The 18,907-nt window shown below is 39.7% G+C and overlaps 1 protein-coding gene across 5 annotated transcripts in view, besides 1 other annotated feature; it reads right to left on the minus strand.

The window, feature by feature from the left end:
- Nucleotides 4,045-4,618: an enhancer, noted in NCBI's record as "H3K27ac-H3K4me1 hESC enhancer chr8:17911125-17911698 (GRCh37/hg19 assembly coordinates)". NCBI's record gives its function as "activates a minimal SCP1, AML or CMV promoter by ChIP-STARR-seq in naive H9 embryonic stem cells {active_cell/tissue: H9 hESC(naive)}" and the evidence as "EXISTENCE:reporter gene assay evidence [ECO:0000049][PMID:30033119]".
- ASAH1 (N-acylsphingosine amidohydrolase 1) overlaps nt 6,421-18,907 on the minus strand; it is a 28,970-nt gene continuing 16,483 nt past the window's right edge. For all 5 annotated transcript variants that reach the window (NR_199644.1, NM_004315.6, NM_001127505.3 and 2 more), the window contains exons 5-14: nt 17,649-17,727; nt 14,886-14,960; nt 13,614-13,659; nt 12,708-12,852; nt 12,115-12,169; nt 11,806-11,887; nt 10,001-10,132; nt 9,770-9,893; nt 9,264-9,320; nt 6,421-8,052 (exon numbers count right to left, since the gene is read on the minus strand). Coding sequence is in view for 4 of the 5 variants with exons in the window: in NM_004315.6 (NP_004306.3) it covers nt 7,963-8,052; nt 9,264-9,320; nt 9,770-9,893; nt 10,001-10,132; nt 11,806-11,887; nt 12,115-12,169; nt 12,708-12,852; nt 13,614-13,659; nt 14,886-14,960; nt 17,649-17,727 (885 nt within the window). In the remaining variant the exon portion in view is untranslated. The remainder of the gene's footprint in view (nt 8,053-9,263; nt 9,321-9,769; nt 9,894-10,000; nt 10,133-11,805; nt 11,888-12,114; nt 12,170-12,707; nt 12,853-13,613; nt 13,660-14,885; nt 14,961-17,648; nt 17,728-18,907) is intronic.

Genomic DNA, 18,907 nt, shown 5'->3' on the forward strand with positions numbered 1-18,907 from the left:
AATTAAAATTAAAAAAACCTTACACTTGTATTATCACTATTTTGGCACATCTACAGATATTTTAAAATTTTAAAGTATTTTATACAGAATGATACACCAAATAACAATTGCTTTGGTCATGATTCTAATAATCCACTTTAATTTTTTTATTAGCTTGTGTATATTTTATTTTTTTGAGACACAGTCTCGCTCTGTTGCCCAGGCTGGAGTGCAGTGGCACAATCTTGGCTCACTGCAACCTCTGCCACCTGGGTTCAAGCGATTCTCTTGCCTCAGCCTCCCCAGTAGCTGGGATTACAGGTGCCCGCCACCACGCCAAGCTAATATTTGTATTTTAGTAGACATGGGGTTTCTCCGCGTTGCCCAGGCTGGTCTCGAACTCCTGAGCTCAGGCGATCCACCTGCCTCGGCCTGCCAAAGTTAGGATTACAGGCGTGAGCCACCATGCTTGGCCGCTCTTGTATATTTTTAATGCTAGATTTGTCACTGTTCTTACGTAGCTAAGTTGAAAAAAGAAATGCAAGTTAACTAAGCACCTGTACTCAGCCCTTGAAATCTTGGATCCAGAAGAACAGTCTATCAATTATATGATTAAAAAAAATAAGAACTATAATAACTTTTCCTAAACAACCACTTAAGATTTTTAAAAATCCATCATATTAGCTTTTAGCATATTGAGAACTTAAGGAGATGATAGGGAAATATTTTTAATATTATTAGATTATTTTGGCTATAGCAGATTTTCCACATGGAGAATGATTTTAAAAATATTAATTTTTATCTGGTCTATAAGACAGTAGTATTATTCAATACATATTAATATGATCGCTATAGATTTCTATATTCTTTTGGTTAAAAAACCCAGTCAAACAACAAAGGGCTGTCAACTTTTCACAGTCCCTTGTCTTTGACAGCCCTAAAAATTTTGCAGATATCAAAGATCTTTCATAGTGCCTTACTTCCTTCACATTTTAAATATAGGAAAACTGAGTGCCAGAGACAACACCAGAACAAGTCTCAAGTTCATCTTCCCCTATATACACCATTGCTCATTGGCAATGAATGTAATAACTTAAAAACTACTGCATATGTGTCTTTGACAGAGACATATACACACACACACATGAATATGTGTGTGTGTATATGTGTGTGTGTGTATATGTCTATATATTATGAAGTCAGTACCCTTGAAAGCAAACAAGTGAAAACTTTACACATTGTTCCCACCCAGCAACTGTAACAATCAGAAACAAAAATGTAATGAAACTCAACTACTGAAACTTGATTTTCTATAGTAAGACAGTAAACTTAATTCTTTAATAACAGAGCCAATCACTGGGTGTTTGCTTTACCAAGGAATACTTTTTCTCAGTAACTAAGATGAAAAGTCTTACTTATTCCATTTGGTAATATGTATGGTCCATTGTACCGAGCAGGTGAAAAGCAAGAACTGGTGTATGCATCAAGTAATTTCCCCTTGGTTATGGCTCCTTGGCATAAGGCGATTTCACTCACCCACACACAGCCTTGGACATGCATAGCCTTGCAGTTGACTTCTTAGAACTGCTACTTCTTATAATATTTTGAAATAATGCTATCAACCCTGCCTCATTATTTCATATCCACAACATGGGAAGAGCAGAATTTGTGTAGGCCACTAGACTATCATAGAGCATAATGTAAATGTCTTTTTTTTTCTTTTTAATTGAGACAGAATCTTGCTCTGTCACCCAGGCTTGAGTGCAGTGGCGCGATCACAGCTCACCGCAGCCTCCATCTCCCAGGCTCAAGTGCTCCTCCCGCCTCAGCCTCCTGAGTAGCTGGGACACAGGTGCATGCTGCAAAGCCTAGCTAGTTATTTTTTGATTTTTAGTATACATCAAGTCTCACTATGTTGCCCAGGCTGGTCTCAAACTTCTGGCCTCACGTGATGCTCCTGCCTTGGCCTCCCAAAGAGCTGGGATTACAGGTGTGAGCCACCATGCACAGCCTTACTATGTTTTTCTGACATTCAGTGAGGGTTGGCATTGAACTCAGGTACTATGGTTTCAAATTTAAACATATTTACTGTAAATCTGTGTGTGTGTGTACAAATTATATATATATGTGTATATATAAATTGTATATATGTATGAAACTCCATCTCTACTAAAATATACATCATATTTTGTATATGTTATACATGTAGAAACTGTCATTTGCAGCTCACAGGCCACTTTGGAGGCATCTTGGCTACCTGCCCGTGACTGCCCAAACTGCATGTGCTTTCTGCCAAGTAGAGCATCATTTTGAAATACTTGATATGAAAGTTTTGACTAGATTTCACCCATGCATGTGTATGACTAACAAAGACTACAATGGTTCTGACGAGTCCAACCACACCTGGGTGTCGGCTGCTACTGGATTCCCTGCGCAACTGAGACACAATTTAAATCTAGATTTATCAAGCTAGAGGAATCCTTAGAGAAAATTGGATCTAAACCCTCATTTTACAAAGGCAGATATGGGGATGCAAGGAGTTAAGTCATGTGTCGCTGGTCACCCAGGCTGGTGATGAAGCAATGGAAACAATGTGAGATTTGTTACCTTTTGGCCTGTTTGTATGTCCCAGTACATACTGAAAAGGATAGTGTTTGTAAACGAGAGGGGATATATGGACTTGGTGAAAAATTCATTACATTTTCTTTATATTAATTATGAAATGTCTAAGTAATGAACAGAAGATAAAGCATCAGGGGAGATATTACACATAAAAATGCAAAACTATAGACTTTTTTTTTTTTTTTTTTGGACAGAGTTTCACTTTCTTGCCCAGGCTGGAGTGGAGTGGCATGATCTTGGCTCACTGCAACTTCCGCCTCCTGGGTTCAAGCAATTCTCGTGCCTCAGCCTCCTGAGTAGCTGGGATTACGGACGCCCGGCACCTTGCCAAGCTGATTTTTTGTATTTTAGTAGAGACAGGGTTTCACCATGTTACCCAAGCTTGTCTTGAACTCCCGAGTTCAGGCAATCCACCCGTCTCTGCCTCCCAAAGTGCTAGGATTATAGGCGTGAGTCACAGAGCCCGGCCATTTTCTTAACGTGTTTTTATAACCTATTTTCTATTTGAAATTGTTATACACAATTCTTGGCCGAGACTTTATGATCTCCTCAAATTTTTGAAAAATCATTAAGGATCAATTTGTATGCCTAATTGAGTGATAAATTTAAAGCAGTGTTGTACAAGCATTCAAGAATTTACAGAAATTGGAATTATATTTGAAAACTAATTTTTATTTAACTTTCATTGATACATGTACTACTAAATTATCTTGGGAAGAGTTTTGAATTCAATCAAAATTGCCATATCGGCCAAGCATGGTGGCTCACGCCTGTAACCCCAGCACTTTGGGAGGCTAAGGCGGGCGGCTCACTTGAAGTCAGGAGTTCGAGATCAGCCTGGCCAACACGGTGAAACTCCGTCTCTACTAAAAATACAAAATTTAGCTGGGCGTGGTGGTGGGTACCTGTAATCCCAGCTACTCTGGAGGATGAAGCAGGAGAATTGCTTGCACCTGGGAGGTGGAGGCTGCCGTGAGGCGAGATGGCGCCACTGGACCACTCCAGCCTGGGCAACAGAGCATGACTCTGTCTCAAAAAAACAAAACAAAACAAAACAAAACAAAAAATTCCAATGAAGTATTTTAAAATAACAATGCCCTATTTTGCAGAAAGCACTTGAATTGTTAACAACAGTCATAGGCAGCCAGCTGAGATGCCTCCAAATTGGCCTGTCAGCTACAAATGGACACAGTAATCAGATACATGTGAAGTGAATGTTTGGGATGCTGCCTGGAGCTGAATCCACCAGGAGACCGCAGTGCCTATGCGCCTCCCTCCCACCTCTGCAGCAGGGCTGTGTGCGGCATTCTGCGCACCTGGAACATAAACTCCAGTTGTGCCACAGGCCGCTTGTCTGTGAGATCTGCAGGCCAGCTGCTATTGCTCAACCTTGCAATGGGAGCAACAAGTTCCAGGTGTTATTGCTGCCACTGACGACCGGGACGACCAAGCCAAGTTTGGGTCTTGGTGAAAAACAATTGGGGGGGCCCCCAGTGAGGGCTGAATGGTTAAGTTTCCTTATGAGGATTTTGTATTTGACAGAGGCAAAACCTAGTTGGCCCAGGTCTCTTCTGGTCCACAGGGCCAGTGATTTTTACTAACTTTCTCCATACCTTGCATGCCCCACACCTCCCTTCCCAGCCTGTGAGAACACAGAGGGATGCAGTCTATCCCACTCTGTCTGTATTAGTCCGTTTTCGCACTGCTAAGTTATAAAGTAAAGAGGTTTAATCGACTCACAGTTCCGCATGGCTGGGGAGGCCTCAGGAAACTGACAATCGTGGCAGAAGGCAAGAGGGCGGGAGACGACGCCTTCACAAGGCAGGAGAGAAGCAAGTCGGAGAACCAGGAAGCACCACACTTTAAAACCATCAGCTCTCGTGAGAGCTCACTAGCTATCACGAGAACAGCATGGGGGAAACCACCCCCATGCTCCAATCAACTCCACCTGGTCCCTCCCTTGACAAATCGAGATGAGATTTGGGTGAGGACACAGGCCCAAACCGTATCACTGTCCCAGTCTGCCCTTCAAGGAGCCCCAGAGGAAGCCCGGGCTGTGGGAGGCAGCCTGGAGGCTGGTATGCCTAGACCCTGCCCAGCTGCCCCAAAGCTGCGGCCCTGTGAAGGGCCTGAGATTTTACCCTGCTTGCAAGCTAATGACCTAGCCTGCCACAGCTTCCTGGATGCTGGCAGACTCCTGGGCCAAAGGCAAAGGACTGTATTGCTCTGGGAATGCCATTTGCCCCCCACCCCAAGTCCCCCAAGGAGGTGATGTGTGACAACCCAATTTATGATGTATCATCTGTATCACAGCTGAGGAACCCCAAGCTCAGGAAACCCCTCGAGTTATAAGATGGGCTGCTTCTCCAATCAACTCATCCAACCTTTGCCCTACAGGTAGATGATGATCTTTATTACCGTAGTCAGGAAACAAATCTGTCCTCTGCCTAGACAAGCATCCTTGAAGATGTCCAGAACTGCCACAGAGAATTGCCCAACGCACACCAGTCTAGCATCCCCTGTGCCACCTGGCTGGGAAACCCACTTTATCAACATAAGAGGGACAGAGTGCCCTAGGGAAAAAGAGAGGACTGATTTTCATGTGAGCTGAGCAACCTCCCCAAGTTGTGAAGGTTGAGGAGCCCAGCCACACTTCCCCAGGCTTGTAGACGGGGCCAGCATGCAGCTCGGTGTGGTCTGGAGCCTGCTGGTCACATCTGTCATATGTGAGGCTAAGCTGGCAAGTATTTTGTAAATTGTCACCAATAAACAAAAACTATGCTTCACTTTGTGAGACTAACTTCAATAATGACTGTGTGAGGTTTTATAGTGACTTTTTATAAATTTCTGAACTATTCATATTTTTCACGTACTCCTGGGTCACAGCCACAGAAAGACTGAGGAGCTCTTAACGCATTCCCCACAAGCTGAGCACGATTCAGACTCAGGGTAGTCAAAAACAGGTGACCTGTCAGCTCCTAACACCAAAGGGTTTCTGATCCCTATGGGAACATTAATAATTGACACAGAACAAGTAGAAGGCAGTGACACAGTGGTGTCCAGGCTCAGCAGGGTGGCCTGGTCCATGGCAGCAGAAGTGTGGGTCTCATAGGACAGAGCTGTTTCTCAATCCTACTTGTAAAGTCAAGAATTCGGGTGTCATAAGAGCGCAGGAGTTGGACAGACCTGGCTAAAACCCTGGCTCTAAGCCCTTCTGTTAATGCAACTTTCAGCAAGTTACTTCCATGGCTGGCAAGTGTGATTACAAGTGATACCGGGGTTTGCTGAGGAGGTAATCTAGGTCAAGCACCTTATCAATCACAAGGCCTGGTACATAAATGGATAAGCAAGAGCTCTAATTAAGATGAGTGACTGAGGAGCTCGATGTGTGAAGGAATACAGGTAGGATTCAGCCTTCCATTCACAATCAAACTCCCGAAAACTTGGCAGGGAAATTAGATGGAGCCCATGGTTTGGATCCAACCTGGACCTTATTTTTTTATAGTATTTCTAAAAATAGAGTCTCATTAATGTCCAATGGCTACTAAGTTTTGTCCTCTCAAAATTAAAATAGCACTTGCCATTATCCAGTAGGAACTACAGTCAGCATTTTGGTTAATATCCTCCCAGTCATCTTTTGATATTCTAGATGTGTATCTAGTTATGCATAAGTACATATATAAAGTGTTATATAAACAGGCTCATCCTGTATATCCTATTTTAAAACTGCTTTACCACTAAACAATTACTTCCTAAAATCTTAATACCTGTTATTTCTTGTAAACTTTGATTTACTCCGGAGAAATCGGTCTGAAACAATTAGCATCTCACCTCTTTACTATCAGGCATATCAAAGGTTATTACATTAACAAAAAAATACATCAAGTTGACCTGACTTCATTTATGTAAGAGGTAGAAAATCTGAGTAAAGTTTTTTTTTCATTAATTAAATCCTATTTTAATGTAAATCCTCTTATAATTCCTCGTTTCACTAAAGTAATCTTGGAATCACTAAAGTTTTGTGGAAGCACCACCTATCTGGGGGAAAAACTGCCTTTAAACACCTGCAAATTGGGTTGATAGTATCTGGTTAAGAGGTGGTATCAGTCATGTAAGAGTAAGATTGTGACCGTTTAGTCATATTTAATAACCCACTTACATAACCCTTGTTATTTAATTCAGATACGATGTTCAGCTTGTATTTCTTGATAATAACCCCCCTCCTCCAAACCAACACAGATGTACACACCCAATCAGCGTGCATGACTGCTGACTGGCACTCTTTCCAGTGACTGTTTATTGAGTGTCAGGAACACAACTGTGATTATACAAAATGAAGTGGACAAACGGTCTTGCACAAATGACGTACATTTCACAGTTAATCGTGAAGGTTAGAAAGGTTAACAAGTTCTATTAGTACTTTTCATAAGCAGTTTGATTTCTGAAAAATACAGTAACATAATTTTAGTAACTACTAAAATTTCTTTAAAACTCCCTATCAATCTGAAGAACAAACTAAAAACCTGTTTATTACATGAATGCTACTTATGAGAATTTAAAATATGGGTTCACTTCCTATTTTCCACAAGTCTTTGACTTGTTTATTTACTAAATTAACAGAACGTGGGATGCAGTTTTTTAAGTTAGCAACTTCCTTAGGGTTACTGGGAAGTAGAGTAATTATGAAAAAGGGAACACTTCAATTATTGTATAAAAGATTGCTTTGCATACTGATTACTTCTTGAACCCCAAAAAGTGCTATTTAGAGGCAAGGGCCCATTTTGTGCCCATTAAAAGAAATATACAGGTGAATGTCTGTCTCATCCCTCTAATCATATGTAATAAAATTATATCGCTGTCAATAACAGCAAAGATAATGATATATTAATTTTAACAGCAGTTAGAACCAGAAGGAAAAGGCTGTTATACAGAAAAACATACAAATATGTAGGTAGAAGTGAAAAACTGAAGAATGTGGAGTGTTTACTGTCCCGTTACTCACACAGACGTGCTGGATTCAACACCCACGCTGAATCTCCATTTATTCCACGGAGGTGGAGTTCACCATGGTTCGACTGCCCACCAGATCCCCAAATGTCAAAGTGAAACAAAACTCAGTGAATTCTAGATGACTGTTTTACTTCCCCTAAAGAAGTTATCTGTAAATAAGAAAAATCAACTGATAGGGGGAAAAAAAAAAGATCTGTCATTTGTCAACAGATGGACGAAGACAAGCTATTGACTCAAAGAGAACCTGCCGCGAGTCTTAGTCTTTGGAAGGTCAGACAGCTGCAGTGTTCGGTCACATGGAGATGGTGTCTTCATGTCTCAGAGGCCGCATTCTGTAGGCCAGACGTGTGCTCACCAACCTATACAAGGGTCAGGGCAGTCCCGCAGGTAAGTTTCGAATTGACCTTTGGTAACATCTATCAAGGTTGTGTATACGGTCAGCTGAAAGAAAAGTTATTTTTACTTTAAGGACGTTTTCAATTCAGAGATGTTCTGATATATATTAGCATTTCTATACTTGTAGAATTTGCTTTAGAAGTTATTTAATATTAAATAATATAACTTAATATATGCAAAGCATGTTATATAATGTATATATTTATATTAATATAGTATAATCATATAAAATTAGCTAAAGTCTCACCAAATAACTAAAGCAAACAACTTCAACAGGATCACTGTTTCAGGTAATGAATATAAACAGGCTCAGGAAAGAATCTCCAGCTCCTTATAGGAGCTTATTCCTGACAGCACATTGCTCCACCCCCAATGCTTTAAGACTGCCTTAACCCTCCTTGACGCACAGCTGGCAGTCCTGGGAGACCTGCCGGTGTCCTATGGAGTAAAAACCGTGGAGCTTTGGCTATCCCTATCCTTAAAGCATTTCCAATACAGTGGGGGAAACTGCAGGCACCCAGATCACAAGGCACACACCCAAACACAAGTCACGAGATTGTGACTTGCTCAAAGATGGTATAGGCAAAACGCAAGTATGGCAGGGCCCGTGAACTGAAGGCAGGCTTCCTGTGAGAGCCAGGGTGACCTGGATGCTAAAGGCCGGAGGGATTTGTCCTGGCAGGGTAAAGGCGGCATGTTTACTTTAGGGAGAGCTGTGGAGAAGGACCAAGAAAAGAAGGAACAAATGGGAAAATTAGGGGGGCATATTCAGAACGTTCAGGGAATGATTGTTAGCGAGTGGTGGGATGATAGGAAACTTTTTGCATTTTTTTAAAACTACAGTGTAGGGAAAAGATAAACAGATGTAGTAAAGTTTAAGGGAAACCCGAACCCACCAAGACACAGAGCTCTGTCTGAAAATGGACTGCAGACTTTGTTTTGTTGACATTTAGGTGTTAGTTATATAGTGTGAGATTTTTAATAGATACCAATAAGAGTAAAATGCTAGCCTTAATTCAAATGCTATGTAAATAAAGCTATAAACAATATTCTGACCTATCAAGCCTCAGTGATCAATTTCTTTCTTGTATTCCAAAATACAGTTTTAGCCACACAAAAACATTTTTTAATAAAAAATCAGTCCTAAGCTGAACACACCTTTTGTGCTCAAACTGATCAAAGATAACAGAGAAAGATAAAACATAGGGCCAAATTCTTTCCCTAAAAGGCAAATATACATATAACATTTAAAATACCTTGTTGAGGACAGGTTTTGTTGACAGGACATCATACATGGTTTCAAATGAGATATTCTAAAACACAAGAAAATAGTTTTGTTCAGTAAGTTAAATACAGAAGCCAACAGCCTTATCTACACACATGGGCCACCAGAAACCAAGACATTCTTTAATCAACCTCCCCTCCATCCCCGCAGTGGAGTTTCTGTGGGAGTCACTGTTAGAAACACAGGTAACAGTTTTAATGGATTACTTTCCTCTCTCTCCTTCCCCTTTTTTAAATTCTTGCCTGTTTGTTATTCAACTTCAGAGTGGTATCCAGCATTAGAACCAGAAAAGGAAAGTACAGCACAATTTTGCTCTTTAAGTTAAGAAAACGAAACAAAAAAATCAGTGGAGAGTGGCTAGAGATACTATGAAAAATAGGACGTTTATAAATTACTTGAAGGCCAAAGAAAAATGCCAGAACCAAGGGAATCTTTAATGGCAACAGTTTCTTTCTATAGATGACCCTGCAAAGGTACCTCTTGGCTGGTGCGGTTCAGACACATCTTTGCAGGCGTTCTGCGATCATCAAGGAAGAAGGGATGTTTCCAACGGTCATAATTTGTTTGTACCACATACCATCTACCCTGCTTAGCATCGAGTCTAGATACAAAAGGAGAGATTCCCTCTTAGGCTACATGCCTTAAAACTCAAAGTATATCAGTGTATGCTTTTGTTTCTACTTCTTTTGCTTTAACAAACCTACTTACTCATATACATCCAATGATTCCTTTCTGTCTCGTGTAATCACACAACCTTCCCCAGACTGGTTGCCTCCCAGGATAAAGTAGGCTGGGGCCAATATCTTGGTCTTGGTCAATAAATTCTTGGCTTCTTCATAACTATATAGAAACATTTAAAAAGAAAAATGAAACTTTTTTTTAATTTTAGTAAATAACTTCATTTATTTTTAAATTTTACTTTAAGTTCTGGGACACATGTGCTGAACGTGCAGGTTTGTTACATAGGTACACACGTGCCATGGTGGTTTGCTGCACCCATCAACCCATCATCTAAGTTTCAAGCCCTACATGCATTAGGTATTTGTCCTAATGCTCTCCCTCCCCTTTCACCCCACCCCCTGACAGGCCCTGGTGCGTGATGTTCCCCTCCCTGTGTTCACGTGTTCTCTTTGTTCAGCTCTCACTTATGAGTGAGAACATGCAGTGTTCGGTTTTCTGTTCCTGTGTTAGTTTGCTGAGGATGATGGTGGGAAACATTTTTAGATGACTTAGAACGGAAATGTTTAGCTCTGTAGAAACTAAAGAAAAACAAGTATCTAAGGAATGTGTTATTTATTTATTTCTATTTTTAGAGATGGGCTCTCACTCTGTTGCCCAGGCTGGTCTCGAACTCCTTGGCACAAGCGATACTCTTGCCTTCGCCTCCCAAAGTACTGGGATTACAGGCATGAGCCACCATGGCCAGCCACAATGTGTTTTCTAAAAAAGGATGGTGAGCAATGCCTCTGGGAAAAGCAATCCCTGACCCTGTATGGTGAACACTGAGATGGGAAGCGGGAATCTTAGGAAGCCCCTCTAATCTGAAGGAGAAACAAAGTGGCCTCAAGAGATCATCTTCCACCCTTACTGTCCATGCCTTTCACTCAACAACAGAACAAAGGGAAATAATATTACAGTATGTAGGACTTAGAGAACAGAAAGTAAACCTTCTTGAAAATTAGGACTATTAAAAATTGAAGTGGGTTATCAAAGAACACTACTAACATTAAATCTTATTCCCTGGGAAGTATTAAAAATAGGATTGATGCCCATTTATTTGGACGCAGTGCTGGCTGAATGAAGGAAAGGCAGTTTTGCTATTGTAAGATTTCTATACCAAGGCAAGATATAACTTACAGGTTAATATGTAGTACATTTTGTATTTATTTATTTTGTTTTTTTAAGACAGAGTCTCACTCTATCACTCAGGGTGAAGTGCAGTGGACTGATCCCAGCTCACTGCAGTCTCGACCTCCTTGGGCTCAGGTGATCCTCCCACCTCAGCCTCCTGAGTAGCTGGGACTACAGGCAGGCACGTGTCACCATGCCTGGCTAATTTTTGTATTTTTTATAGAGACGGGGTTTCGCCATGTTGCTCAGACTGGTCTCAAACCCCTGGGTGCAAGTCATCTGTCTATCTCAGCCACCCAAAGCGTGAGGATTACAGGCATAAGCCACTGTGCCTGGTCTGTACTACCATTTAAATGAAGATTTTACTGTATGACTGTTCTTTTGTGTGTGGGTCATTTTTTTTCTGTACACCAAAAATATTCATAGGTGCCTTTCATAATGTCAGTATCCCTAGTGCTTTTTAAGTAATTCATTTATTTGCTATAAAACACACAGTCTGCACGAAGAAAACATGAGTAATTCCACATGAGTGTCAGAGGTTCACCTAAGAAATTCTGCAATAGTTCCTCAAAGGATTAAGCTGGAGCTTGACAAATATTTTTATTTTTTAATATGAGTAATTTAAAATAAATATTTAATAGTAAAGCAACGAAACACTTTACCTTGTGCTATTTTCCAGAACTGTTCTAGTGAGGAACCCTATCCACATGACATCTTTCTTTCCCAGAATCCATTCTAGAATACCTGGAAGAGATGAACACAATGTCAGGAACCGGAAGAGGTGACACTATGTAACCAGTCAGGACCCGGAAGAGGCTGGACTATATAACCAGTCAGGAACCAGAAGAGGTTAGACTTTGTAACCAGTCGGGAACCGGAAGAGGTTGGACTTTGTAACCAGAAGGCACAGTCCAGCCTTCCTCATAAAAAAGCTCTGAGATTCCCATTTCACTTGAGAATGCTCTACTTACCCAGATAACCACCATTTATACTGAAACGTTCATTCAGTGTAAGACTGAACAGTCCCTGAGAAAAAGACAAAGCAACGAAGTCAGAAACATCAACCATGCGCTTTAAGGCCCTGTCGCTCACTGTACTTCAGAGTGGGATATAAAGGCCTAGCTTGGGTAATGGGGAAGGCAAAAATAAATCAAAACCATAAAAGGCTTTTTAAAAAGTTCAAAGCATTTTTGATTCTAGTATGTGAGATAAGTAGGTGGGGTATCACTGGCAACGCTTTTTGGACAGGAAACTGAAGGGCAGAGAATGAACGCCTGACTTGCCTAAGTGAGCGGAAGACCCAGGACTAGAAATCAGATTGTGACTCCCAGCCCTTGACACCCAGCCACATGCTCTTTATCCCAGAAGAGGCTCAGAAACCTCCGTTTCCTTTCTACTCTTCTCTACCACGAGATCTCATACCTATGAAGTGACAAGAAGTACAAGGGGGTGAAATGGGGCTTCATATTCCCTTTAGGTCCTCATATTCTTAGATTTCAACTTTTACATAACGGTAACAGGACAGAAGGCTACCTGTATAATTATGTAACAACAGACTCCTTACTGGTTTGAATCCTGTTAACATGCCCACATAGCCAGCAAAGCTTGAAGCCTTGAAGACAGTTTTGTTGTTTCTTTGGAAATCCAAATTCACTGTTAAAGGTTTTAGTTGCTCAGTTATGACCCAGGTATCATTATTTATGTTCCACCTATAAAAGACATGTTTCAGTGACATTTCAGAAACACAGTGATAGTAATGATCAACATGATGATGAGGGCCAGGCATTACACTAGGAGCTTTATTTACCGAGTCACCACGATCAATCCTAACAAGACCTTTACAATATGGTATATTTATTCTGTTTTCCAAATGATAAAATTGAGGTTCAGAGAAGTCAGGTAACTCTCTCAATATCACACAGCTTATAAATAGTGAGCCTCAGATTCAAACATAGAATGCTAATTACAATATTCTTATTTTTTCAGAAAGGTCAAGATGGACACATAAAATAGAAGAGCATGTCCCTCTTGTCTCAGCACTCAAGCAATCCATTTATCTTCACTTATGATCACATTTTGGGTGTGACTTGGGACTTACTTATCATCAATATAACACAACCTACTCTTCCTACAGACCAAAACAGTTCTGTGTTCTTTTTTTTTTTTTTTTTTTTGAGATGGAGTCTGGCTCTGTATCCCAAGCTGCAGTGCAGTGGCGCGATCTCGGCTCACTGCAACCTCCGCCTCGCAGGTTCAAAAAAGTCTCTGCCTCAGGCTCCCAAGTAGCCGGGATTACAGATGCCCACCACCATGCCTGGCTAATTTTTATGTTTTTAGTAGAGACGGGGTTTCACCATCTTGGCCAGGCTGGTCTTGAACTCCTGACCTCGTGATCCACCCGTGTCAGCCTCCCAAAAAGCTGGGATTACAGGCGTGAACCACCATGCCTGACCCTTTGTTCTTTACTTACCCAAGAAATACTCCAAAATCCATGTTTCTCCCATGTATTAGATGACCTATTTGAAGGTAGACAGAAGAGACGTGTAATAGCAGTTAAGATTCTAAATCAAAGCTGGACAATTAATTTTGATTAATTAATTTATTTTTGAGACAGAGTCTCGTTCTGTTGGCCAGACTGGAGTGCAGTGGTGCGATCTCAGCTCACTGCGACCTCTGCCTCCCAGGTTCAAGCAATTCTTGTGCCTCAGCCTTCCACGTAGTTGGGATTACAGACATGTGCGACCGCACCTGGCTACTTTTTTTTTTTTTTTGTATTTTTCTTTTAGTAGAGAAGGGGTTTTACCATGTTGGCCAGTCTGGTGTCAAACTCCCAACCTCAGATGATTCGCCCGCCTCGGCCTCGCAAAGTGCTGGCATTACAGGTGTAAGCCACTGTGCCTGGCCTCTAATTTTGATTAATTTTTATTCACAACTGTTTCTTCAAACAATAAGAAGTAAGAAACATCCTAATATCCTAAGCCTTCACCAGATGGGACTGTTGTCACCGTCTATCTGCCAGATAACCCCACAAAATCTGAGAGCACGGGTTTCCAGGTAAGATCAGAATATGGGAAAAGGAATCAATGGTCATGTTTTGGTTCACTATCACATGGTTCTACCAGGACACAGAAATCGGAGCCTCAATTACTGTGATTCATCAAATGTTTCCCTTCAGGCATCATCCCCTAGAGCAGGACATCTCAAGGGTAAGGTACAGGCAGATTTATACCCAGAGTATAGGTCAAAGATCAGGGTGAGTTAGCGAAGTTGTCCTGTGCTTTGTACTCTGGGAACCAGTCAGGAAAAATACGGGAAAGTGAGGCTGGTATCCATTGGGTTGCCTGGCTGGGAAAGGATGGGAGAATGTGTGTTCTGGGCCTCAAGAAAAGGACAGATGTCATGACATACACGAAGATAAGGAAGCACCTCCTGCGAGCACTTCCATCAAAGCATGTAGATGGGTAGAAGTAAACTATGAGGAAGAGAAGAATGTTTCTAGCCCTGCAACATTTCTTCCAGGTTTTTTGCATGTCTGAAATCAACTTTAATAGGCAGTACAGTAGTCTGAAAATAAGGAAAATTTTCAGTACAATCACAAAATTTTACCAAGAAATAAAAAGCTGTATGCAACATACACAGAATTTACATAGCAAGCCCAAATTTCAGAAGTTCTAATTTCATTTAGAAGATTTTTCTTTATGTAGTGCTTCATGCTGCCCACCCTCCCTCAGCGCACAATTACCTTTTTTGTCTTCTGCTACTATTGAAGTACAAATGGTAAATAATTCATAAAAAATATTGAATGAAATAATCTCTCCTATGAGAAAAGAAAATTTTGTGTTAATATACAGAACCATGACAATGGGAGAAAAATTTGTTTTAAGAAAAAGTTTCAGTGTTTTCATTGTGTGAGTGTGTGCTTTGGCCAGTGGGGCTGTGCTGGAACGGCCGGCTGGAGGTGGTTTTCTTCCCCAGCCTGGACTCTCTAGACTCAAGATGAAACAAGTCACCAAGGAGGCAGCCTTCGGGCGAGCTGAACATCTGGGCAGGTTGCAATTGTTCTCCAACATCACATCCAAAATGTTTATCAACATGCTTCATTTTGAATTTTCTTTTGGGAGCGTAAATATGATCATTTAATACATCTGGCTCTTGGCTGTTTGCTGGACATATATTTTGCCCAGATTTTTAAAGTGTGACTAAAATTTCTAAGGTGAAAAAGGAGATTCAAGAACTATTAAAATTAGTACAGAGCTGCCAAGAAACTCCATTCTAGGGTATTTTATTTTTTGAATATTTTCCCAAAATGTATAATACTGCTATTTAGCATTTAATTCAAAAGTAGGCAGCACATTGTATTTCTGTCCCATTTAACATTAACATGTTAAGCTCAACATGTTTTTTTCACCCAAATCCAATGTGTATTTTATTTCCATTAAATTTCTAATTTGGTGAAATTCTAGTTATTTTATTATACATTTATAATAATTTATAATAATTATATAAATTTACACCACTTATACATCATGTTATTCTTCTTAATCCATAAGGTATTTCTATTTGGTATTGAGTTGCTAGAGTTCTTTACATAATAAAGGAATTAGACTTGCTTTCCATAAAGGCAGCAAGTACATATTTCCAGTATGCTATCTTTTAAATGAGTTTTTTAAAGAAGCAGCACACAAAACTAGCCACTTTTGTTGATAAATACTACTGATTTTCACAAATTCTCAATCATCTCATAAAATGAAGGTACTGTTGGCTATTTAAAATAATGACACTACTGCTTTGCTAGCTTAAAGATAAAACTTTTGGGGTCGTGGGGAAAATATTTTTCGTTACATGCCATAAAGCTTAAATTGAAATTTTAAAAATAGCTTCCCAAACCATCAATATCTAAGAATAATTTTAACGAATGGCATGTGAGGTCTTCTCCCTGAAAATAAAAGATACTGCTCAGAGAAATCAGTAACTTAAATAAATATTGAGAAAAACAAAGTTGGAAGAATTATACCACCTAATTTGAAGACTTACTATAAAGCTTTAGTAACTGAGGTGAAATAGTATTGATATAAGGGAAGACAAAAAGACAAATATGTAAATGAAACTTAATTCCCCAAACAAAACAACATATATACAATCACCTGATTGTATATACAGATACACATTGTGTGTGTGTGTGTGTGTGTGTGTGTGTATATATATATGTATTGTATATTTATATCAAAGACACCACTGCAATTTGCTGAGGAAAGGATAGCCTTTTGAATTGATGCTGTTTAACTAACTGGATATACCACATGAGAAAAACCTGAAGCTTGACCCATAAGTCATAGCATATACAAAAATAATTCAAAATAGATGATAGGCCTAAATGTAAAAAGTAAACATTAAACATCTAGAAGAAAATATATAAGCATATATATATGACTTTGGGGTAGGCCAAGATTCCTTAAATGGATACAAAAGGCACTACTCATAAAAGAGAAGACTGAGATATTAGACTTCACTAAAATTAAAAATTTCTGTTCATCAAAAGACAAAAGTAAGAGAATAAAAATGAAGGTCATAGACTGGGAGCAGATATTCAGAATCCATATATCTGACAAAGGGCTTATATTCAAAGTATGTAAAAAATTCCTTCAATCTAATTTTTAAAAGGGCAAAAGACCTTCACAAGCCCTTCTCCAAAAGAAACAAAGAAAACCAAAAAAAAAAAAAAAAAGTCAATAAACTGTTCAATCTCATTAATCATCAAGGAAATGCAAATTGAAACTAAAATGCGATACTGCGACACTCAACAAAAAGGCTCAAATAAAGATTGACACTAACAAAAAAAAAGGAAAAAAAAAGACTGACACTATCGAGAGGAGAATTATCAAGAGGAGAAAACTGAAACTCTCATACTCTGCTGATTGTCAACTGCTGGAATCACTTTGGAAAACTGTTTGGCAGAATCTATAAGGCTAAACACACAATTACTCTATAACACAACAGTTCACTTCCTAGGTATATATCCAGAAAATGAGTACCCAGACACCCCCAAAATGTACTACAATATTTATAATTCCTTTATTGTTAATATCACAAATCTGAAAACCACCCAAATACCCTGTTGATACAATAGCACACCACCCATAATGAAATACAAGAAATCACACAGGACAGTTCATATTGTTCAGTTCTATTTATACAAAGTTCACGAAGAGGCAAAACTAATCTATAGTGACATCAGAATAGTGTTTACTGGAGGAGGCAGTATTTTCTGCAAAGGGGCATGATGGAGCATCGTGGAGTGCTGGGCTCTTCCGTATCTTGATCTGAGTCATGGCTACATGCATGCATGCATTTCTGAAGCTTCACTGAGCTGTATATCTAAGACCTGTGCACCTGTGCTGTATATCTAAGACATACAGCACCTGTGCTGTATGTATATCACACCTCAATGGAAACTTGTAAAAGAATTTAATTACTTTTTTTTTTAAAGCTTCTAAGTGAACTTTACCTAAAGGTATATCAGTAACAGCGGCAATACCCTTCATTTCCTCTTCAAAAGGGCCAGGAAAGTTGCCAAGTAGGCCAGGCTGGAAAACAAATATATTAATAAAAGCATTTAACATAATAACAATAAAAAATATATAATATAATATAAACAAATATAATAAAAGCATGCTTTGAAATCTAGTTCTTGGACATATAATTTTTTCTAGATACTGCTATCATAATAAGTGATAGGAATTATTTTTTAAAGCATTTTTACATCATGTAGTTATAAAAAGATTCTATGTAATACTGAATATTGGGCCCCTATACAGAGACCAGATTCTCAGATTGTTTTTCCTGCCTTATTTTTCCATCATTCTCCAGAGAAGGCAGGAACGAGAGTAATTCCACTTGGATGACCTAACCTGACCCACACCACAAAAACATCATAACAAGCACTCCTTATCTCTCTGCACGAATTCACCCTCTAGCCACTGGCATATACCGTTCTTACCATTTCCTTCCCACACTCACAGAGATAAACCTGCACTATTCTATCCATAGCCCTGTGTCATGGTTAATGGCTGATCTTCAGCTAAGATGAAGTAACTGCATTCTTTTAGCAAACCAGAGACATTGAGCAAATTCAGTGGTGGACATCATATATTTATTCTCAATGGCAACTACTAACATCCAGATCACAACTTAAGTTCACGGCCTTTTGCTGAGATAATCTGCTTAAAATTCACGAATCTCACTTTTTTAACCAACTTGGTAATTACATGTAATGTCACCTAAACATATTTTTTTTCTCCCTAGGAACTCAAAGCATTCCCCAAGTGGAATGTTCCAGCCATTTAACAAACAAATGTGACGTAATGGGTATTTATTAAACACTTATTACATCCAAGCACTATGCTTTATACACAGTATGTCATTTAACCCTTACAACCACCATATGAAATATATATTAGTAATTATTATTCTCCCTGATGAGAAAACTGAGGTTTCATAGGTTAAGAAACTTTCCCTAGGACACAAGGCTAGTATGTGACTGATCCAGCCTTAAAACCCAGTATTGTCCGATTCCAAGGCGTGGCACAAAAACTCTCTGCAATGTTGCCCTCCCTGATAACATTCAGAGTAGAGGGGAGATTAAGGCATACGGGGAACGTGGGGGCCTCATCCTCTTTTGCTCCTGCCAGCATTTTTTTGTTTTGAGGAAGTCCGGTAAGTATGAACATAAAGGATAGCCTGAAACAAAAGCTCCGAGAGCATGCA

Source organism: Homo sapiens, chromosome 8 (assembly GCF_000001405.40).
Source record: "Homo sapiens chromosome 8, GRCh38.p14 Primary Assembly".
Lineage (NCBI taxonomy): Eukaryota > Metazoa > Chordata > Mammalia > Primates > Hominidae > Homo > Homo sapiens.